The sequence below is a fragment of the Homo sapiens genome, chromosome 18 (assembly GCF_000001405.40).
Source record: "Homo sapiens chromosome 18, GRCh38.p14 Primary Assembly".
Classification (NCBI taxonomy): domain Eukaryota; kingdom Metazoa; phylum Chordata; class Mammalia; order Primates; family Hominidae; genus Homo; species Homo sapiens.
Genome location: NC_000018.10, coordinates 27,737,294 through 27,759,522, shown reverse-complemented (window position 1 = coordinate 27,759,522; position 22,229 = coordinate 27,737,294). Strand labels below are relative to the sequence as shown.

General features: G+C 39.7%; 4 annotated features.

Annotated features, from left to right (window-relative positions):
- Positions 9,076-9,651: an enhancer, noted in NCBI's record as "OCT4-NANOG hESC enhancer chr18:25329836-25330411 (GRCh37/hg19 assembly coordinates)". NCBI's record gives its function as "activates a minimal SCP1, AML or CMV promoter by ChIP-STARR-seq in primed H9 embryonic stem cells {active_cell/tissue: H9 hESC(primed)}" and the evidence as "EXISTENCE:reporter gene assay evidence [ECO:0000049][PMID:30033119]".
- Positions 15,383-16,038: an enhancer, noted in NCBI's record as "H3K27ac-H3K4me1 hESC enhancer chr18:25323449-25324104 (GRCh37/hg19 assembly coordinates)". NCBI's record gives its function as "activates a minimal SCP1, AML or CMV promoter by ChIP-STARR-seq in primed H9 embryonic stem cells {active_cell/tissue: H9 hESC(primed)}" and the evidence as "EXISTENCE:reporter gene assay evidence [ECO:0000049][PMID:30033119]".
- Positions 15,383-16,590: a biological region, named in NCBI's record as "BRD4-independent group 4 enhancer GRCh37_chr18:25322897-25324096".
- Positions 15,391-16,590: an enhancer, noted in NCBI's record as "BRD4-independent group 4 enhancer chr18:25322897-25324096 (GRCh37/hg19 assembly coordinates)". NCBI's record gives its function as "activates an origin of replication core promoter dependent on BRD2, P300/CBP, MED14 and CDK7 cofactors, and independent of BRD4, by STARR-seq in HCT116 cells {active_cell/tissue: HCT116}" and the evidence as "EXISTENCE:reporter gene assay evidence [ECO:0000049][PMID:35650434]".

Below are 22,229 nucleotides of genomic sequence, written 5' to 3'. Positions count from 1 at the left end.
CCCCTGCTAAAACTTTCTCAAATATTGTTCCTAAACAGTGGAAACTACTGGTTTGAGTCTTGGAATGGCACATTATTGCTCAGAGGGATTTTTATGATTAGGTTTAAAATGGAAATGCCAACAGGTCTAATTATGGTACTGCTGTAGAGGGTATAGCACATTAACATTATTGCATGAAAAATATCAATCTGCTCTGGGAATATATTGAGCACCTTTAATATTTTCATTTGCATTTACAAAAACTCACATTTAAATTTTTCATGAAAGCTAAATAAGATTTGGCTGAGAAATGCCCTCTCAAGATCTTTTAGTTTGAAATTCCTTACTTTAGAAAAGATGATAAGAGAATTAGAAGAATTATGATTATTGATACAAATCAAATGGGCTTGTCATTCTTCACTACGGTTCTCCAGAGTTATCATACTTGACGCATTTTTCTGGGGGGCAAATAGTGTTATAATGGGCTGAACATTCAATTTAGGCATGTAAGAGAAATGCAGCCACAGATATTTAAATGACTCAGGATAGTGCTGTAATAAAGCTAGATGGAGCCGTTGGCTAAGATATCTTGGGCCAAGTTGTTTTCTTTTTCCTTTTTTAAAAGTCAATACATATGGCAGAAAACAATTGTTATATAAGTAGACTCTTCTTGTATCTGCTAAAATTTTGATTCTGTGCTACCATAGAAAGTATTCTCATCTGAGCTTTAGTCTTCTCCAAGACACAAGGTGGTTATGAACATCTTGGACTGGCCCATTGCTACTGACAAAGACTCTGCTTGACCAAACTCTAGCATGGCTTCTAGAAGCTTAAGGCCATGTCCCTAGGATGACCCAGGCATCCCCCCTCCTACAATGTTCACCTGAAAAAGTTTGCAATTGTCAATTATTTCCCTGTTCTTTGAGATATAAATGTTCTACCACACAAAAGTGGCTCCTCAAAGTCTGGGAGCCATCTCTTTGAAATGCAAACATCCCAGGAGGTAAGCCCTACTCTTCTCTCTGAGTCCCCATGGGAGGGAAAGCGTGGGCATCTTGCTCTAGCTCTCACCACTTACTCCTGTCATAAAGATACAAAAAGTTTGTTTCTCCTACAGACAAATGCCAATTAGCAAACTCAGATGGCCTGGTCAATTGCCCTCTCACTCCTTGCTCTTTCATGCTTATACGCTGGTTTCTCTCCTATATTGCAATAGTTATTACTGAACAAAATCTGTCTTTACCACTTGTAACTAATGTCTGGCTTTATCTCTGACACTGCGTTAATTCAAATGTGCTAATGATGATTCTGTATAACTTTTTATTTCTTAAGAGTCATAGCAAGAAGGGACTCAGAGCCCATTTTTTTCCACTCTCTCTGTCTTACAACAAAGACATTGAAGCTTAAAAAGATTATTGACGCATGAGCCAGTAACTGTGGAGCTGAGATTAGAAGACAGTGTTTCTGACCCTCCCCTCATGCTCTTTCCATTGCCAAGTCCATGGTTTTGGTGCAGAATTTTACTCACTACAAAATCACTTTTATGCTAGAAGGAGGGATATGGTCCTGATAAATTCTTTAAAATAGCTTCTGAGATTTTTTTTAAAAGCTTTATTTTAAAATTTAAGTGCACAGTTTTACAGAGAGTATATGAAACAAGACCTATACTTATGCTAAACAACAAAAATAATTTGAAATTTCTTAAATTAGGTAATGAAATTCAAGAATTTTATCAATATAATGTTCACTGAATTAGAGATTCCTCCCCCACATCCACTGGGCCAACACTTAGGGCCAAGGTGAAGATTTAGCTCAAAATTATAGCGAATGTTAGAGTGTATTAGAACTCTTTTGATGCATAACTAATTTCAGAGCTAAAACGCAGTTGTTCTGTTTTCTCATGTATTTTTTCTTTTATGGCTTTTATATCCCTTCAGAATAAGACTTAGTTTTGACGTACTTAGCATCAGCAGTGGGACAGATCTAAAATTCTTTGCTTCTCTTAAATCCATTATAAATATGAGTAAGCAAACTAAGTTAAGTTACCAAAAAAGACCTTTAGGGAAAAAAGAAAAGAAATAAGAAAATGAGCTTTTAAAATAGAGATGTCTGCACTTTTATTCTTACTCTAAATATGTGAAAATAGCAAATAATAGTCTACTAGGCAATGTATGCCATTCACTGCATCTAACTGTGCTTTAAACAACTCTGTCTTGGCCATACAGTGCATTTCTGCAGGCATGGGAGTGATTAGGAAGAAAATGGTACAATTGCAGTGAAAGGCAAAAACCAGCTGTTCTAATGGTTTAGAATTGAGATCAATGATGACACAGTTCAATTACAGCATTAGTTCCTGATGTCAGAGAGGGGTTAAAAATGGATCATAATGATTCTTTAGTAGATAAATTTGGAGCAATTAGGGTTCTGAAAATGTCTCTTTATGTAACAAACAAACAAAAAAATTGCTCTTAAATGATCTGCGCTGCAGAACCTGTCTCTTTTGCATGACAGAAGCTAATCTACTGCTTCTCAATGTGGACTTAATCAAATGAGCTTCTAAACCCCAAATCTCAAGTAAGGACAGACTAGATTTTAAGTTAGTCCAAACTACAAGCATTTTAAAAGGTTAGTAAGTAAACATATAATGGGGGGAAAAAAAAAAACAACCAAAGGTAAACTTCATTAAATAACCTAGTACAGTTTCTTGCACGCAGTAGGCATTACACGAATGCTTGTTGAATTAAATTTTTTATTTCTTTCTTAGATATGCCTGAAGTATACAAACTAGCTAAATGTCAGTCATGTCAAACAATTATTGTAGGTCAACTGTATTATCTCCAAATATTACCAATTATCTTTTGTTTGATACAAACGTAAGTGGAATAAGTTTAACTGAAATAAACCAACACAATTTTTATTATAGATTTGGTGGGCTAAAACTTATTTTCTAAACCCAAATCTGCAGCTTGTTGCTGAGTTCCTAGCCTGGTAGTAGTGCTGAAGCCAAAACAGTTATCACCTTTCTGCTATGTCTACTGCTAGAATTATTGAACTGACATCCTTACTGCTTCATTTCAATCCATAGATAAATTTTAGGGAGAAAATTTAAAACTAACTTGGTTGTTTTTTGAGTTGCACAAATGAATATAAAGAAGCTTTGAATTACAGGCATTTCATACAAATTAGCAAAGCTTTCATCTTACTACTGTGAAGCATATCTAGACCCTGAATATGCAAAAAGAAAAACGATGTTATATTTCCTTGTTCTTCCCTTTGCATTAATCTGGTCATTTAGTTCTCTGTGTTTCTTACTCTCTTGCTTCTTTTGGATCTTTGTTTCTGTGCAGTTTCATTCTACCAGTTTTTCATAGAATTTAAATTAATGTCAATATGGAGCAAGCATAAAGGAAGAACACAGATTTCTTGTAGAGTTATTGTTTGTTGATGCTATATGTCACGTAAAATTCTCTGCATTTTCTCTACCAGGTATAGGAGTTTTCTCTTGCTCTTAAAAGCTTTGAAATCGTCGGGTACGGTGGCTCATGCCTGTAATCCCAGCACTTTGGGAGGCCGAGGTGGGTGGATCACGAGGTCAAGAGTTCGAGACCAGCCTGACCAACATGGTGAAACCCCATCTCTACTAAAATACAAAAATTAGCTGGGTACACGCCTGTAATCCCAGCTACTCAGGAAGCTGAAGCAGGAGAACTGCTTGAACCCAAGAGGTGGAAGTTGCAGTGAGCTGAGATTGCACCACTGCACTCCAGCCTGGGTGACACAGTGAGACTCCATCTCAAAAAAAAAAAAAAAATTTTGAAACCATAGATATCATTGTATTGCAATGGCAGAGGTAAATAAGCAGAACTTATATCTAATGATGAACTTAATGTTTCTGACACGTTCATAATCTTATTGTAGACACAACAATACTTGGAGGTAGACATTATTACTCTTTGTTTACAGAAGAGGAAACTGAGGCTCAGAAAATTTAAGTTGCTCATTTTTGCACAGTTGATATTTTACAGTTGGCTGGACAACTTAAAGAGGTAAAGTAGGGGTAGCTTTCATAAATTTTAAACACTAATGATATGCTAAGAACAAAAAACAGATTCCTAATGCTTTGACATTTACAGAATATTTCAAGAGAAAAAACATTTAATTTTAAGAAAACATTTTTTCTATGAATTTTATTTTCAAAGGGTTTTAGAAAGGTTATGCATTGTCAGTCTCCCTGTATTTATAACAAACACATGCATCTAGCCTATTTTTAAAGACTATATTGTTACTACTTGAGTTATTCCTGAGATTGAGTTTATATACAGCCAGAGGATCTCAGTTCTTCCTTAGGGCCTGGTTCACCCTTAGTATATAATGTAATGATGTGAATTTCAGAGCCAAGGTACATTGCAACCAAATATTGTGAAATTTAATGGACTAACTCAGATTTGTCTTTTATCTTCAGAATTTTCAAAAGTGTAAATTTCCTTTTTCAAGATTTGGAACCAACCCAAATGCCCATCAATGCCTGACTGGATAAATAAAATGTGGCACATATACTCCATGAAATACTATGCAGCCATAAAAAACAATGAGTTCATGTCCTTTGCAGGGACATGGATGAAGCTGGAAACCATCATTCTCAGCAAACTAACACAAGAACAGAAAACTAAACACCACATATTCTCCCTCATAAGTGGGAGTTGAACAATTAGAACACATGGATACGGGGAGGGGAACGTCACACACCAGGGCCCGTCGGGGGGTTGGGGGCAAGGGGAGGGATAGCATTAGGAGAAATACCTAATGTAGGTGACGGGTTGATGGGAGCAGCAAATCACCATGGCACGTGTATACTTATGTAACAAACCTGCATGTTCTGCATATGTATCTCAGAACTTAAAGTATAATTAAAAAAAAAGAAAAACATGACAAAGATGCCTCCACCTGCACTCTTACGATTCAATATTATAGCTGTCAGGCAAGACAAAAATTAACATGTGATCATTTACCAAGGGGGGCTTAATTTTTTACCTGTGAGTTTAAGGCTACTTTCTAACATAAGTAAAACTGGTCCTTTTAGTTAATTTTAGTTTCTGTATCTACAGTCATACATGAAAATTTCCCGTGTTAGACTCACAATACTTTGAACGTTTTACTGCTTTTCGGTTGTCAAGAGTAAAGGAGAAAGTCATTTAGATTTATGGTGATTATTATAACTATGATTTGGGGACAGGCGCACAATATAGGATGTATGATGTTAGTTCAGTTAAGCAATCACTTAGAGGGAAGCTGGTATGTTCCAGGTACTATGCTAGGAGATAGAGCTATAAAAATGGAAAAGACGTATTTCCTGCTCTCAAAGATCTCTCAAGGTAGTGGAGTGTTAGATGTACTAAAATAGTAAGAGTCAAATGAGCGGAGAGGGAATTTAAGAGGAACATTGATACCTAACATGGTGGCATATGGCCCATCAGCCTTTCCGACCTTGCTCTCCAGGTGTTCCTCCAGAGCTGTGGACTCTTCCTCATAAACTCTGGATACTTTAAAAAGGACATGGATGTCGGCAGGAGTTACATGAAAATGCTTCAGTGACATTTTGGTTGCTCAGCTCCCCAAGGCTAAAGTAATGATTCTTTTTGTCTGGGAAATCTTCCCTCTTCAGCCATCCTTGTAGCTTCATATAGAGAAAGAAGAGGAACTGTCAGATCAATTAGATCAACAGGGTAGTATTTCGCTGTCAAATCAACTTCATACCTTTGTGCTACAAAGCAATTCCTTGACTGGCCCAGGAGAGTCCATGAGCAGAGATGACTGGATCTCCCTACAGTGTTCTTTCTCACATCTGGCTCCATTTTCTTTGAGAGGCCATACTGTGAGCCAGTGTATGAGAAGAGAAGGAGGGATTGGATTGATGAAGGAGCTGGATTCCATGCATTAACGCACATGGGTCTGCCCACCAGCCTGGCAGCAATTCCACCCAAATCACCTTGCTATGATAGGTTATGACCTCTATAGCATCTACAGATATAGATATAAAATCCATATAGGATCTCAGAGCAAGCTTTGAAGAGTAAGGGATAAAATGAATAACACAATCAATACAAAAACACTAATAGAGGGTCTCAGAGCCACATTCTAAGATTAATGGAGGAAATAAACAAAGCAATAGATGGAAAATATTTGCTCTGTTGTCTAGCTTTTTACACCCATCATTTTCCAGGTCTTTCTCTTTATCCTGCCGACACGTTTGACAGATATAACATTTATCTAAGTATGAAACAGCTGTCTGTGAGGATATAACACCCTCACCTCCCACATTATACCACCAAAGATGCAGCTCATATTCCTAAGGGAAGCTGAATTTGAAGAGACAGAGTGTGTGTGCCACCCCCATGATTTTCTATGGGACACAGGGACGTGCAGAATCCTAGAAATGTGTCAGCTAAATAGTCTGGTTGAACACGCTGACTGAGAGTCTGGGTAGCACAAGTGGTTAGTTAGCTCAGTAACTCAGCTGAAAGGAAGTATGTGAGCTGATGATGCAAATAATATTTGCTTCAATTATAGCAGCTATCTCAGTACTAGTCAATTTTAGTAGTTCAGGTAATAATGTCTTTTGAATATACCAATTGTATGCCTTGAGTTTCCTTCTCCTTTTCCCTTCTTTTAGATCCTAGTCCAGTTAGAATCCTCTCCTGTGGCAGCATGGGCTCCAGAGGTTAAATAACAATTAAACTCCATCTCATCCTTCTCAGAATGTCTTGCTATTCTGAGAAACTATAGATGGTTCTTCCAAGTTGATCAAATATAATCCCAGTGGAAAGCTACTAGAATTGTGAGTTCAGCCTTTATCATAAGCGGTTTCTCTGTCTTTATAGCAATAGTGTATATAAAAAAATCCCTGTTGCATTTCCCATATGTATGATTCAATAGGAATTGAGTAGACTCTGTAAGGGAGAGTTGTCTTGAAATCTTTTGAATTAGATATGATCCAAAAATCAATGTAGTAACACGGGTTTATTCCACTGGAACATCTCTGTGCACTATAAATTCTTTGAGGCAGAAACCCTGCCTTATAAATCTTTGAACCCCCCACAGAGTCTGGTACCCTACTTTTAACAGGAAAGATTCTCAATAAATAATTGCTGGTAAAACATATATGCTTTTGAAGCAATGTTTTCTTACTTTGAAGAATGAGTTATTTCGGTAATTTTAGAAGAGTGAAACACGATACTTATTTTATTATAATCTCTTGCACCAACTGCTTCAAATTAGTTTCATCAGCATCTTTTAAAAAATGTTTGTAAAAAACCATTAATAAATCCAGCCTCAAACTTCCCTTCAGAATTAATGCAATCTGTTTGGGGAAGATAAGAATGAGGATATTTTGCAATTTGTAAAGTGAAAACTCACTCAATCTGGATTTGACCCTTGTCAACCATATACACACTGATTCTTCTTATATCCTAGAATAAAATTATTAAAGATAGAACTGCTGTGTCGTCTAACGTGAAGAAGTTTGTCACGTGCATTCCTCCTCACCCACGGAAGTCTTTATTTCTGAAATGATTGAATTATAATACTTTTCTTCTCCCTCCTGCTATCTAATGCAGTTTTACCTCCTTTGTATGTCTTAATGTTACTGAAAATTCTGTTTATGTGTGTGAGTTGAATTTTTTTTTTTTGAGATGGAGTTTCACTCTTGTTTCCCAGGTTGCAGTGCAATGGCATGATCTCAGCTCACTGCAACCTCCGCCTCCTGGGTTCAAGTGATTCTCCTGTCTCAGCCTCCCGATTAGCTGGGATTATAGGCATATGCCACCACGCCCAGCTAATTTTGTATTTTTAGTAGAGACGGGGTTTCTCCATGTTGGTCAGCCTGGTGTCGAACTCCTGAGCTCAGGTGATCTACCCGCCTCGGCCTCCCAATGTGTTGGGATTACAGGTGTGAGCCACCGCACTTGGCCAGATTTTTTAAAATTATTGAAAATACACTTCTGTGATGCTGTGGTAGCAATGCTATCACATTCTGACATTTGGCTTTTCCCTTTCTCTATGTTTTTCCCTTTACTATAATCCCAATTTCTTAACTAGATGAAAGTTCAGTAGTTTAGGATTAAAGCCAGTGCTTTAACCTAGACCATTAACCTGGTGAAGATGAAGGAACAATTGAAGTAACTTCTTCTCTCTCTCTTCTATAGGAGATTGCCCCCCACACACACACATGCACACACACATACGTGTAATATGTCATGCCCCATCTTCTTCAACCTAACAGTAATTTGGGATTCCCCATCTGATGGGCGCTCACACAATGATCTCTTTCATATACAGGGTGGTAATTTCACTCTAAACACTTCAATTATTTATAAATGGATCTCAGAGACAGCAACTAGCAGCTGGGCTATAGAAGCAGCTCTGACTGAGGCGTGGCCAATAGAACCACATGTCACTTTAAACAGTGTTATTAATATTTATGTGACTTGATCAGCTAGTTTAGATGCAGGTCTTCCCTGGGCTGTGTGGAAGAAGCCTTCCTATTTTTGCTCGCCTGTAATTATAGACTGATTCTTTTCTTTGTCAAACTTGAGGGGTAATCGAAGGTCAGGTTCCTGGGATGAAAAGTGTGCCAAACACATCCAAGTCATAACGCTTTCACCACTCTTCCATCAGCAATTTGGAGTCAATTAAAACTTAGGTCTGGAAGTAGAAGATCTAGAAGCCCAAACTGTCAATCTTGGACAAAGATTCTGGTTTTAACTTTTAACAGGGTGAAATTGATTATGTAAACTGCACTAAAAAATCTGGCATAAGGTAAACTACCAAAACAGATTAAGATATTCAGGTAAATGAATTTACAGCTTTAAAAGAGAAATACATGCATTGATACATAGCTACAGATATAGATAGATACGCATGTGGTAGATCATCAGTGTACCTAAAGGGCACTGCTGCACACTTTGGGTCTCGCTTGCTTCCTGAAAAATGTCGTCTTTGCTCTCAAGGACAATATATTTGTATTACAATCTAAAGCAGGATCCTTCCTGCTCCATAATCTATTCATGAAAAAGCATATGGCATTGGTTTCTGAGAGCTCCATAATTTCTCAAGTCAAATACAAATGTTGAAAAAGTCCAATTCTAGTCCTGATGAAACAATGGTGATTCCTTTGGAAAAGATGATGCACATTTGGTTCAGAATCTGTCTTCTGCATTTCCTATCTGGTGATGTCCCTGACAATGGTGGCTCATCAGCTCAATGCTGGCAACCTTGAGCCTGTGGGGTGACAACCATTAGAGGGCAGCACAGTTACATTTTCTTAGCCGTGAACCTGAGGAAACAGACGATGCATGCATTCCTTGCACGATTCTTCATGATTGAGGTAATGGTCTCAGCCACAAGGCATTTTTTCTCCCTCCCCATTTGGCCTGATTGACAGTAGAAGCTTATAGTAACAAAGGAAGCTGTATCAGTAAAATGTCAGTGGAGGAACAGAATTTAACTTTTGTGTAAAGTTATATTTCCTTATATTAAAATGACTCCGTTTAGTACCTTATTCTTTCTTAACCAGACAACAGTTGACCTTTCTGATATAGTTTTCTCATTATCGTTTGTCCCTTTGTGAGTGTGTGTGTGTGTGTGTGTGTGTGTGTGTGTGTGTGTGTGTAGTTTAGAAATTTTAAGCAAACAAATTATTTCCCACCTAAAAAAGTCCAAATTCCCAAATCTTCCATGACCCAGCACTATAGCAAAAAGAGCAATTGTGAAAAGATAGGTTTAAACACTTAAGAACTAATGACCTGAAATAATGACAAATCACCTTGTATGTTATCTCATTTGTTAGCAATGGACGTCTTAGCTATAGCTGCCAGGGAGATGAGCTCTGGGTAAATAATCCATAATTACAGTAGAGTAGATGAAGATTGATTGATAAAGGGAAGTTTTTATCCTTTGGGATCAAAGAACTTTTCCTTTGACTTTGCTGATGAATTAATTGTTACAGGATAAAAAAACACAGACAGTGTAGCATGCTGCACAATTAAAATACTCTCTACCTGAGAACTTAACTCAGTAGATCAAAGACTGTCTCAGGAGTAGGAATGAACTCAGCAGCTGAAAGGGTGGAGCACAGAGCACAGTAGTGCCCCGGAACCCAGAGTGACCCAGGAGTGCTCATTCCACAGGCCAGTGGGCCGGAAACTGGAGTAATGAGATAATCAGCTCAGTCTTTAAACAACCAAAGCCAACATTTTCCCCAATTCTTGCTCTTTTCCCTTCCTTTACTCTGACCACCCAAGGATCTACTTTCTGCTGAGGCGAGGCTTGACAGAAATAATTCAAGATGCTGAATTTGAAAACAGAAACAAATTTTACATGTAGAAAGATAAAAAGAATCAAGTTGAGCTGGAGAGTGGTTGCAGATAATTAGCATGTATGCAGGTTCCTCACACTGAACATAGACGGGTATTTGCTTCCCTTTTTTATGGAGTGGGAATAAGAGGTAATAGGTGGGGAGTTTTGACTGGGTGCCGGAGGCTTGAATATATACCACCAAGGGAAATATAAAAGGTCAAAGAAATATTCAGTGCACATTCTAGAGATTGAATAAAAGCTTGTATTACTGAATTAACTTTTTAATCAACCAATCTGTTAGTCAAGGCCAATGTTCTCATTTTTTTCCTACTTACTTTGACATCATTTTTGACTCAAATACTAAGAGCTTTGGCAGAATTGTGCTTTAGGGAGCTTGACAGACAGTGAAAAACAGAAACACAGACACATGCACACATGCACAACTTGACTCACTGTGATTTTCACTGCCACTTTCAATCAGCACCACTATTTTTAATCATTAGGTTGCATAGTCTATGATCTTAAAGCAGATTATACCTTTGCATTACTCTACATTAACAGCACCATGATTTATGCTAATAGGTCTGATTAACTGGGTAGGGTAGCCTATGTCTGAACACAAGGTCAGGTGCATTCAAGTGATGCCAGACATCCGAGCACAATTCTTAGGGGTGGGAAGTTTGGCTATGATGTGTGACAGTGATGAGTGACTTAGGAGGAAGAGAGGGAGGGTTTGGTGAGCAGCTTGGGTATCACAGCACTGTCCCAAGACTCTTTTTACCAAGCAAGCCACAGATTTGTGCCTACGTGGGAATAATGCTACACACCTCATCCATTGCATCATTTATAACACTTACTGTTTGCTTTTCTTTCCCATTAGACTAAAATCTATTTGTGGCCAGAGGCAATATATTAGTTTTCTAGGGCTGTCATAACAAATACCACAAACTGGGTGGCTTAAACACAAACATTTGTTGTCAATTTTAGTGTCAATATTGGATGCTAGAAGTCTGAGATCAACATGGTAGCAGGGTTGGTTCCTTCTGAGGAGTGGGAAGAATAATCCATCCCATGCCTCTCCTCTAGCATCTTGTGGTTTGCTGGCAATCTTTGATGGTCTGGCTTTTAGAAGGATCGCTCCAATCTTAGCTTTGATCTTCATCTGGAGTTCTCCTTGTGTGTTTACATTGTCTTCCCTGTATGCATCTGTCCCCAAATTTCCACTTTTCATAAAGACACCAGTCATATTGGATTAGTGGCCCACCACTTCAATCTGGCCTCATCCTGATACAAGTAATGACATCTGCAATGACCTATTTCCAAGTAAGTTCACATTTTGAGGTACTGGGGTTTATGATTTCATGTGAGCTTTTTTGGGGGAGGATACAATTCAACCCATAACAGGCAGAACCATATTCAATATTGCATATTTAATTTATTTAAATATAGCCTTGCAGTTGGCCCTTTATCTGCTCAGAGTTAAACATAATATTATTTTAAAAGGTGTAATAGAAATACTTTTATGATGGTTTATGCATTTTTAAAATTTCTAATTGGAATAGTGTAATTTTCTAAATAATGTAGCTCTACACAGTGTAGGTCTTGGAATTAACATAACAACCAGTTGAGACAATCAGGGAATATTACTTTCCTTCCCCGTCTTCGACATAAGAGCGCTTTGGTAAATCCAAACCTCCATGGCATCCCCACCAAGCAGATTATAAGGCTTAATAATCCTCAGTATCACCAAGTTCTCTTTGTCTTTAAATCCCCTAGGCTTCAGATTAAGTTGCTTCCTTTTGTTTCTGCCTTCACGGAAACAAAGAACAGTTGGCCAATGTGTTCAGTAGAAGAACTTTTATCTACCTGGCAAACATTATTAGGTTTCCTCTTTACATTTTATCCACTAAATGATAATCTAACGTTCACATAGGTTCTATTTTCACTCTTCATTGTCTTTGTGGCTTTTGCAAAACTGCTCCAGGATCTTCTGACACTCTTAGTTATCTCGGTACTAGAGACCATTTCCAGGCAGGATGTAAGAAAATAAATTGATTGGAGTTCAAACAGCAAGATGAATACAGAACTTCAAACAGTGGGGTAATCACTTATATTTGGGACACATGTGCCATATACATTTGCCCAAGTAGAAAACATAATATTGATTACAAAGTGTGCATGTGGGGTGGATGTGCCAAAGCCATCCACAGAGGCACTCTGCTGGCTTCCTGTTTGCTGTTTTGTCTTTCATTCTTTTTTTTTTTTTTCAGATGGAGTCTCACTCTATCGCCAGGCTGGAGTGCAATGGCACGATCTCAGCTCACTGCAACCTCTGCCTCCTGGGTTCAAGTGATTATCCTGCCTCAGCTTCCTGAGTAGATGGGACTACAGGCACAAGTGACCACGCACAGCTAATTTTTGTATTTTTAATAGAGACGGGGTTTCACCATGTTGGCCAGGATGGTCTCGAGCTCTTGACCTCGTGATCTGCCCACCTCGGCCTCCCAAAGTGCTGGGATTATAGGTGTGAGCAACCACGTCCGGCCTTTGTCTTTCATTCTTATTTCCCCTCTGTCCAGTTATCATGGTCTCATTACTTGCTCACTTAATTTATTGTGTAACTGGATAGTCAGAAAACAAAAGCCTCCTTCCAGTATCTCATTCCCCACATGCAACCCTTGGAATGAGAGGGTCAGAGTTTCTAAAAGGCCATTCGGGTGGTGTATTAGTCAGGGTTCTCTAGACAAACAGAACTAATGGGATAGATGTATATATGAAGGAGAGTTTATTAGGAGAATTGACTCACACGATCACGAGGTGAAGTCCCATGATAGGCCGTCTGCAAGCTGCAGAACCAGGAAGCCAGTCCAAGTCCCAAAACATCAAAAGTAGAGAAGCCAGTAGTGCAGCCTTCAATCCGTGGCCAAAGGCCAGAAAGCCCCTGGCAAATCACTGGTGTAAGTCCAAGAGTCCAAAAGCTGAAGAACTTCTAGTCTGATGTTCGAGGGTAGGAAGCACCCAGCACAGTAGAAAGATGGAGGCCAGAAGACTTAGCCAGTCTATTCTTTCCACGTTTGTCTGCCTGCTTCTACCTGGCCGTGCTGACATCTGATTAGATGGTGCACACCCAGATTGAGGGTGGGTCTGCCTTTCCCAGTCAACTGACTCAAATGTTAATCTCTTTTGGCAACAAGCTCACAGACCACCTAGGAACAATAGTTTGCATCCTTCAGTCCAATCAAGTTGAAACTCAATATTAACCATCACAGGTGGGATCCTGAGAAATTGAACTGACAGAAGGGCATTAGAAGCCAATGTGTTTCAGGAGATTTGGGATATCCAGACACTAGGAAGAAGAAATGGGTTTATTGGTCTCAGGAGTAGCTGAGACCAGCCTCCAGTTACCCAGCTTCCATGTGAAAGTCCCTGAGAAGCTGAAGGTGGGGGTTGTAATAGGAATGGAGGTGGTGGTAGTGGGAACAAAACACTAAAATTTTTATCCTGGGGAGGTGAGGGAAATTTTCATGAAAGTAATACAGCCACCCATCTTCAAGCACAATGGATAAGAAAAGATGGGCTTTCTGCAGATATTCTGGACCATGTGTGCACCACAGGAAATGCAAACATTTGTGAGATTGGGAAAGACCAGTCTCAAAAATAGCTAAGATAGAACTTACTGCCATCCTAGTGGGATGTGGGATGGTTTCTTTATTCTTTATTCTCTTTCTTTTCTTTTCTTTTTTTTTTTTTTTTTCAGAGCCTCATTCTATTGCCTAGGCTGGAGTGCACTGGCATGATTATAGCTCACTGCAGCCTCAACTTCCCAGGCTCAAGGGAATCTCCCACCTCAGCCTCTTGAGTAGCTGGGACTACAAGTGTGTACCACCATGCCCAGCTAATTAAAAAAAAATTTTTTTTTCTAGAGATGAGGTCTTACTGTGTCGACAAGGCTGGTCTTGTACTCCTGGCCTCACATTTGAGAGGCCTCTTATGTTGGCCTCCCAAAGTGCTGGATTACAGGCATGAGCCACCATGTCTGGCCCCCACTACTGGGATGGTTTCTAAACATATAACATTTGATTTAGGAGAAAGGAGAAAGTAACTTTTCTTTTTCTTCTTCTTCTTTTTTTTTAACATCTAGCATTACAGGATAAAATTCATGTCTATTAGTCAGCGTTTTCTTTTCCATTACCATGGTTACCAATGATGATGATGATGATGATGATGATAATAGCTGGTATTCATCAAACTATTGCTGTGTAACAGACACTAAGCTAAATGCTTTACATGAATCAATTTCACTTTCACAGTAGTTACTATTATTAATCCCTTTTTACAGGTAGAAAATTGAGGCTGGAGAGTTTATGTAAATTCTTCATGTTTACAAAGCAATTAAACACAAGAGCTGCATGAACTTGCACTCTCCATTCACCTCACCCTGTTCTGATGAAACTCTATATGCTATGCTGCCTTTATATTGATCAAAGTGTTGACAAATGAATGAATATGCATCCAGAAGTAGGGCTGGACAATAATTTATCTCTTTTTTTCACCCTAACCCTTAATTTGTGATTCTTGATTAATGGATACTTAATGAATCGAAAGAGAATTGGAAACAATTTTGCAAAGAAAGGAGAAAATAGCTTTAAGATATATGAGAAGAGGGACACATCAAGAGATTGTTTTTGCTGATAAAGCAAGGTATCTGTATGTACATGCTGATAAATTATAGATTGCATTATAGCTCTTGTTATTCCTGTATCCCTCCCTCTTTTCTAAGACATCATGTAATTTTTTTCCTATTGCATTTCAGATTTCTGCATATTATACCAGGAACTCTTAACTCTGTGGTGGAATGAGCTGGTGAGGACTGCTCCCCACAAAGGAATAAAGCCAAAATTAAAATCTCTCTTTTTTATGTTTCTTTCTTTCTCTCTCTCTCTCAAACTTGACACAAGAAGAAAAATCACCAGGTGCCAGAAATGAAGTGGAAACTCACAAACAATGCCATTCTGATCTAGTAGAGGAGCAGTTAGTGAATATTTTCTGTAAAGGGCCAGATAGATACCTTAGGCTTTTGAGGCCATATGGTCTATGTTATAACTATTATAGCCCAGAAGTAACAGAAAATATGTATATGAATGAATGTAGCAGTGTAGCAATAAAATTTTATTTACAGAAATAGGCAGCGGGCCATAGAGTGCTGGCCACTGTAATAAAATATCAAAATCAACATAAGCTCCAGAGTAGGGTCAATGCCCACTGATATGGTTTGGCTCTGTGTCCCAACCCAAATCTCATCTCAAATTGTAATTCCCCACATGCTGAGGGAGGGACCTGGTGGGAGGTGACTGGATCATGGGGGTGGTTTTTCCCATGCTGTTCTCATGATAGTGAGGGAATTCTCACAAGATCTGACAGTTTAAAAGTTGCAGTTTCCGGGGAGGAGCCAAGATGGCCGAATAGGAACAGCTCCGGTCTACAGCTCCCAGCGTGACGACGCAGAAGACGGGTGATTTCTGCCTTTCCATCTGAGGTACCGGGTTCATCTCACTAGGGAGTGCCAGACAGTGGGCGCAGGTCAGTGGGTGCGCGCACCGTGCGCGAGCCGAAGCAGGGTGAGGCATTGCCTCACTCGGGAAGTGCAAGGGGTCAGGGAGTTCCCTTTCTGAGTCAAAGAAAGGGGTGATGGACTCACCTGGAAAATCGGGTCACTCCCACGCGAATATTGCGCTTTTCGGAACGGCTTAAAAAACGGCGCACCACGAGATTATATCCGGCACCTGGCTCAGAGGGTCCTACGCCCACGGAATCTCGCTGATTGCTAGCACAGCAGTCTGAGATCAAACTGCAAGGCGGCAGCGAGGCTGGGGGAGGGGCGCCCGCCATTGCCCAGGCTTGCTTAGGTAAACAAAGCAGCCGGGAAGCTCCAACTGGGTGGAGCCCACCACAGCTCAAGGAGGCCTGCCTGCCTCTATAGGCTCCACCTCTGGGGGCAGGGCACAGACAAACAAAAAGACAGCAGTAACCTCTGCAGACTTAAATGTCCCTGTCTGACAGCTTTGAAGGAGCAGTGGTTCTCCCAGCACGCAGCTGGAGATCTGAGAACGGGCAGACTGCCTCCTCAAGTGGGTCCCTGACCCCTGACCCCCGAGCAGCCCAACTGGGAGGCACCCCCCAGCAGGGGCACACTGACATCTCACACGGCAGGGTATTCCAACAGACCTGCAGCTGAGGGTCCTGTCTGTTAGAAGGAAAACTAACAAACAGAAAGGACATCCACACCAAAAACCCATCTGTACCTCACCATCATCAAAGACCAAAAGTAGATAAAACCACAAAGATGGGGAAAAACAGAACAGAAAAACGGGAATCTCTAAAACGCAGAGCGCCTCTCCTCCTCCAAAGGAACACAGTTCCTCACCAGCAACGGAACAAAGCTGGATGGAGAATGACTTTGACGAGCTGAGAGAAGAAGGCTTCAGACGATCAAATTACTCTGAGCTACGGGAGGACATTCAAACCAAAGGCAAAGAAGTTGAAAACTTTGAAAAAAATTTAGAAGAATGTATAACTAGAATAACCAATACAGAGAAGTGCTTAAAGGAGCTGATGGAGCTGAAAACCAAGGCTCGAGAACTACGTGAAGAATGCAGAAGCCTCAGGAGCCGATGCGATTAACTGGAAGAAAGGGTATCAGCAATGGAAGATGAGATGAATTAAATGAAGTGAGAAGGGAAGTTTAGAGAAAGAAGAATAAAAAGAAATGAGCAAAGCCTCCAAGAAATATGGGACTATGTGAAAAGACCAAATCAACGTCTGATTGGTGTACCTGAAAGTGATGGGGAGAATGGAACCAAGTTGGAAAACACTCTGCAGGATATTATCCCAGAGAACTTCCCCAATCTAGCAAGGCAGGCCAACGTTCAGATTCAGGAAATACAGAGAACGCCACAAAGATACTCCTCGAGAAGAGCAACTCCAAGACACATAATTGTCAGATTCACCAAAGTTGAAATGAAGGAAAAAATGTTAAGGGCAGCCAGAGAGAAAGGTCGGGTTACCCTCAAAGGGAAGCCCATCAGACTAACAGCGGATCTCTCGGCAGAAACCCTACAAGCCAGAAGAGAGTGGGGGCCAATATTCAACATTCTTAAAGAAAAGAATTTTCAACCCAGAATTTCATATCCAGCCAAACTAAGCTTCATAAGTGAAGGAGAAATAAAATACTTTACAGACAAGCAAATGCTGAGAGATTTTGTCACAACCAGGCATGCCCTAAAAGAGCTCCTGAAGGAAGCGCTAAACATGGAAAGGAACAACCGGTACCAGCCACTGCAAAATCATGCCAAAATGTAAAGACCATCGAGACTAGGAAGAAACTGCATCAACTAACGAGCAAAATAACCAGCTAACATCATAATGACAGGATCAAATTCACACATAACAATATTAACTTTAAATGTAAATGGACTAAATGCTCCAATTAAAAGACACAGACTGGCAAATTGGATAAAGAGTCAAGACCCATCAGAGTGCTGTATTCAGGAAACCCATCTCATGTGCAGAGACACACATAGGCTCAAAATAAAAGGATGGAGGAAGATCTACCAAGCCAATGGAAAACAAAAAAAGGCAGGGGTTGCAATCCTAGTCTCTGATAAAACAGACTTTAAACCAACAAAGATCAAAAGAGACAAAGAAGGCCATTACATAATGGTAAAGGGATCAATTCAACAGGAAGAGCTAACTATCCTAAATATATATGCACCCAATACAGGAGCACCCAGATTCATAAAGCAAGTCCTGAGTGACCTACAAAGAGACTTAGACTCCCACACATTAATAATGGGAGACTTTAACACCCCACTGTCAACATTAGACAGATCAACGAGACAGAAAGTCAACAAGGATACCCAGGAATTGAACTCAGTTCTGCACCAAGCGGACTTAATAGACATCTACAGAACTCTCCACCCCAAATCAACAGAATATACATTTTTTTCAGCACCACACCACACCTATTCCAAAATTGACCACATACTTGGAAGTAAAGCTCTCCTCAGCAAATGTAAAAGAACAGAGATTATAACAAACTATCTCTCAGACCACAGTGCAATCAAACTAGAACTCAAAATTAAGAATCTCACTCAAAACCGCTCAACTACATGGAAACTGAACAACCTGCTCCTGAATGACTACTGGATACATAACGAAATGAAGGCAGAAATAAAGATGTTCTTTGAAACCAACGAGAACAAAGACACAACATACCAGAATCTCTGGGATGCATTCAAAGCAGTGTGTAGAGGGAAATTTATAGCACTAAATGCCCACAAGAGAAAGCAGGAAAGATCCAAAATTGACACCCTAACATCACAATTAAAAGAACTAGAAAAGCAAGAGCAAACACATTCAAAAGCTAGCAGAAGGCAAGAAATAACTAAAATCAGAGCAGAACTGAAGGAAATAGAGACACAAAAAACCCTTCAAAAAATTAATGAATCCAGGAGCTGGTTTTTTGAAAGGATCAACAAAACTGATAGACCACTAGCAAGACTAATAAAGAAAAAAAGAGAGAAGAATCAAATAGACACAATAAAAAATGATAAAGGGGATATCACCACCAATCCCACAGAAATACAAACTACCATCAGAGAATACTACAAACACCTCTATGCAAATAAACTAGAAAATCTAGAAGAAATGGATAAATTCCTCGACACATACACTCTCCCAAGACTAAACCAGGAAGAAGTTGAATCTCTGAATAGACCAATAACAGGAGCTGAAATTGTGGCAATAATCAATAGTTTACCAACCAAAAAGAGTCCAGGACCAGATGGATTCACAGCTGAATTCTACCAGAGGTACAAGGAGGAACTGGTACCATTCCTTCTGAAACTATTCCAATCAATAGAAAAAGAGGGAATCCTCCCTAACTCATTTTATGAGGCCAGCATCATTCTGATACCAAAGCCGGGCAGAGACACAACCAAAAAAGAGAATTTTAGACCAATATCCTTGATGAACATTGATGCAAAAATCCTCAATAAAATACTGGCAAAACGAATCCAGCAGCACATCAAAAAGCTTATCCACCATGATCAAGTGGGCTTCATCCCTGGGATGCAAGGCTGGTTCAATATACACAAATCAATAAATGTAATCCAGCATATAAACAGAGCCAAAGACAAAAACCACATGATTATCTCAATAGATGCAGAAAAGGCCTTTGACAAAATTCAACAACTCTTCATGCTAAAAACTCTCAATAAATTAGGTATTGATGGGACATATTTCAAAATAATAAGAGCTATCTATGACAAACCCACAGCCAATATCATACTAAATGGGCAAAAACTAGAAGCATTCCCTTTGAAAACTGGCACAAGACAGGGATGCCCTCTCTCACCACTCCTATTCAACATAGTGTTGGAAGTTCTGGCCAGGGCAATTAGGCAGGAGAAGGAAATAAAGGGTATTCAATTAGGAAAAGAGGAAGTCAAATTGTCCCTGTTTGCAGATGGCATGATTGTATATCTAGAAAACCCCATTGTCTCAGCCCAAAATCTCCTTAAGGTGATAAGCAACTTCAGCAAAGTCTCAGGATACAAAATCAATGTACAAAAGTCACAAGCATTCTTATACACCAACAACAGACAAACAGCCAAATCATGAGTGAACTCCCATTCACAATTGCTTCAAAGAGAATAAAATACCTAGGAATCCAACTAACAAAGGATGTGAAGGACCTCTTCAAGGAGAACTACAAACCACTGCTCAAGGAAATAAAAGAGGATACAAACAAATGGAAGAGCATTCTATGCTCATGGGTAGGAAGAATCAATATCGTGAAAACGGCCATACTGCCCAAGGTTATTTACAGATTCAATGCCATCCCCATAAAGCTACCAATGCCTTTCTTCACAGAATTGGAAAAAACTACTTTAAAGTTCATATGGAACCAAAAAAGAGCCCACATTGCCAAGGCAATCCTAAGCCAAAAGAACGAAGCTGGAGGCATCACACTACCTGACTTCAAACTATACTTCAAGGCTACAGTAACCAAAACAGCATGGTACTGGTACCAAAACAGAGATATAGATCAATGGAACAGAACAGAGCCCTCAGAAATAACGCCGCTTATCTACAACTATCTGATCTTTGACAAACCTGAGAAAAACAAGCAATGGGGAAAGGATTCCCTATTTAATAAATGGTGCTGGGAAAACTGGCTAGCCATATGTAGAAAGCTGAAACTGGATCCCTTCCTTACACCTTATACAAAAATCAATTCAAGATGAATTAAAGACTTAAACATTAGACCTAAAACCGTAAAAACCCTAGAAGAAAACCTAGGCATCACCATTCAGGACATAGGCATGGGCAAGGACTTCATGTCCAAAACACCAAAAGCAATGACAACAAAAGACAAAATTGACAAATGGGATCTAATTAAACTAAAGAGCTTCTGCACAGCAAAAGAAACTACCATCAGAGTGAACAGGCAACCTACAGAATGGGAGAAAATTTTCGCAACCTACTCATCTGACAAAGGGCTAATATCCAGAATCTACAATGAACTCAAACAAATTTACAAGAAAAAAACAAACAACCCCATCAAAAAGTGGGCGAAGGACATGAACAGACACTTCTCAAAAGAAGACATGTATGCAGCCAAAAAACACATGAAAAAATGCTCATCATCACTGGCCATCAGAGAAATGCAAATCAAAACCACAATGAGATACCATCTCACACCAGTTAGAATGGCAATCATTAAAAAGTCAGGAAACAACAGGTGCTGGAGAGGATGTGGAGAAATAGGAACACTTTTACACTGTTGGTGGGACTGTAAACTAGTTCAACCGTTGTGGAAGTCAGTGTGGCGACTCCTCAGGGATCTAGAACTAGAAATACCATTTGACCCAGCCATCCCATTACTGGGTATATACCCAAAGGACTATAAATCATGCTGCGATAAAGACACATGCACACGTATGTTTATTGCGGCATTATTCACAACAGCAAAGACTTGGAACCAACCCAAATGTCCAACAATGATAGACTGGATTAAGAAAATGTGGCACATATACACCATGGAATACTATGCAGCCATAAAAAATGATGAGTTCATGTCCTTTGTAGGGACATGGATGAAATTGGAAATCATCATTCTCAGTAAACTATCGCAAGAACAAAAAACCAAACACCGCATATTCTCACTCATAGGTGGGAATTGAACAATGAGATCACATGGACACAGGAAGGGGAATATCACACTCTGGGGACTGTGGTGGGGTGGGGGGAGGGGGGAGGGATAGCATTGGGAGATATACCTAATGCTAGATGACGAGTTAGTGGGTGCAGCGCACCAGCATGGCACATGTATACATATGTAACTAACCTGCACAATGTGCACATGTACCCTAAAACTTAAAGTATAATAAAAATAAATAAATAAATAAATAATTTAAAAAAGTGGCAGTTTCCCCTGCCCTCTCTCTCTCTCCTGCCACCTTGCTTCTCCTTCGCCTTCTGCCGTGATTAAGTTTCCCGAGGCCTCCCCAGCCATGTGGAACTGTGGGTCAATTAAATCTCTTTCCTTATAAATTACCCAGTCTCAGGCAGTTCTTTACAGCAGTATAAAAATGGACTAATATGCCCACATGGGGATGGGATACTGAGCTTTGGGCCAAGATGAAGTCTGGAACAAGAACTGAGACAGTTGCCTAAATCTGAGTCATCTAAAGTCCTAAACCATTAAGTAAAAGAAAAACACATTTTTTTCTTTTTTCTTTTTTCTTTTTTTTTGAGACAGGGTCTTTCTCTGTCACCCAGGCTGGAGTGCAGTGGTGCATTCTCTGCTCACTGCAACCTCCACCTCCCAGACT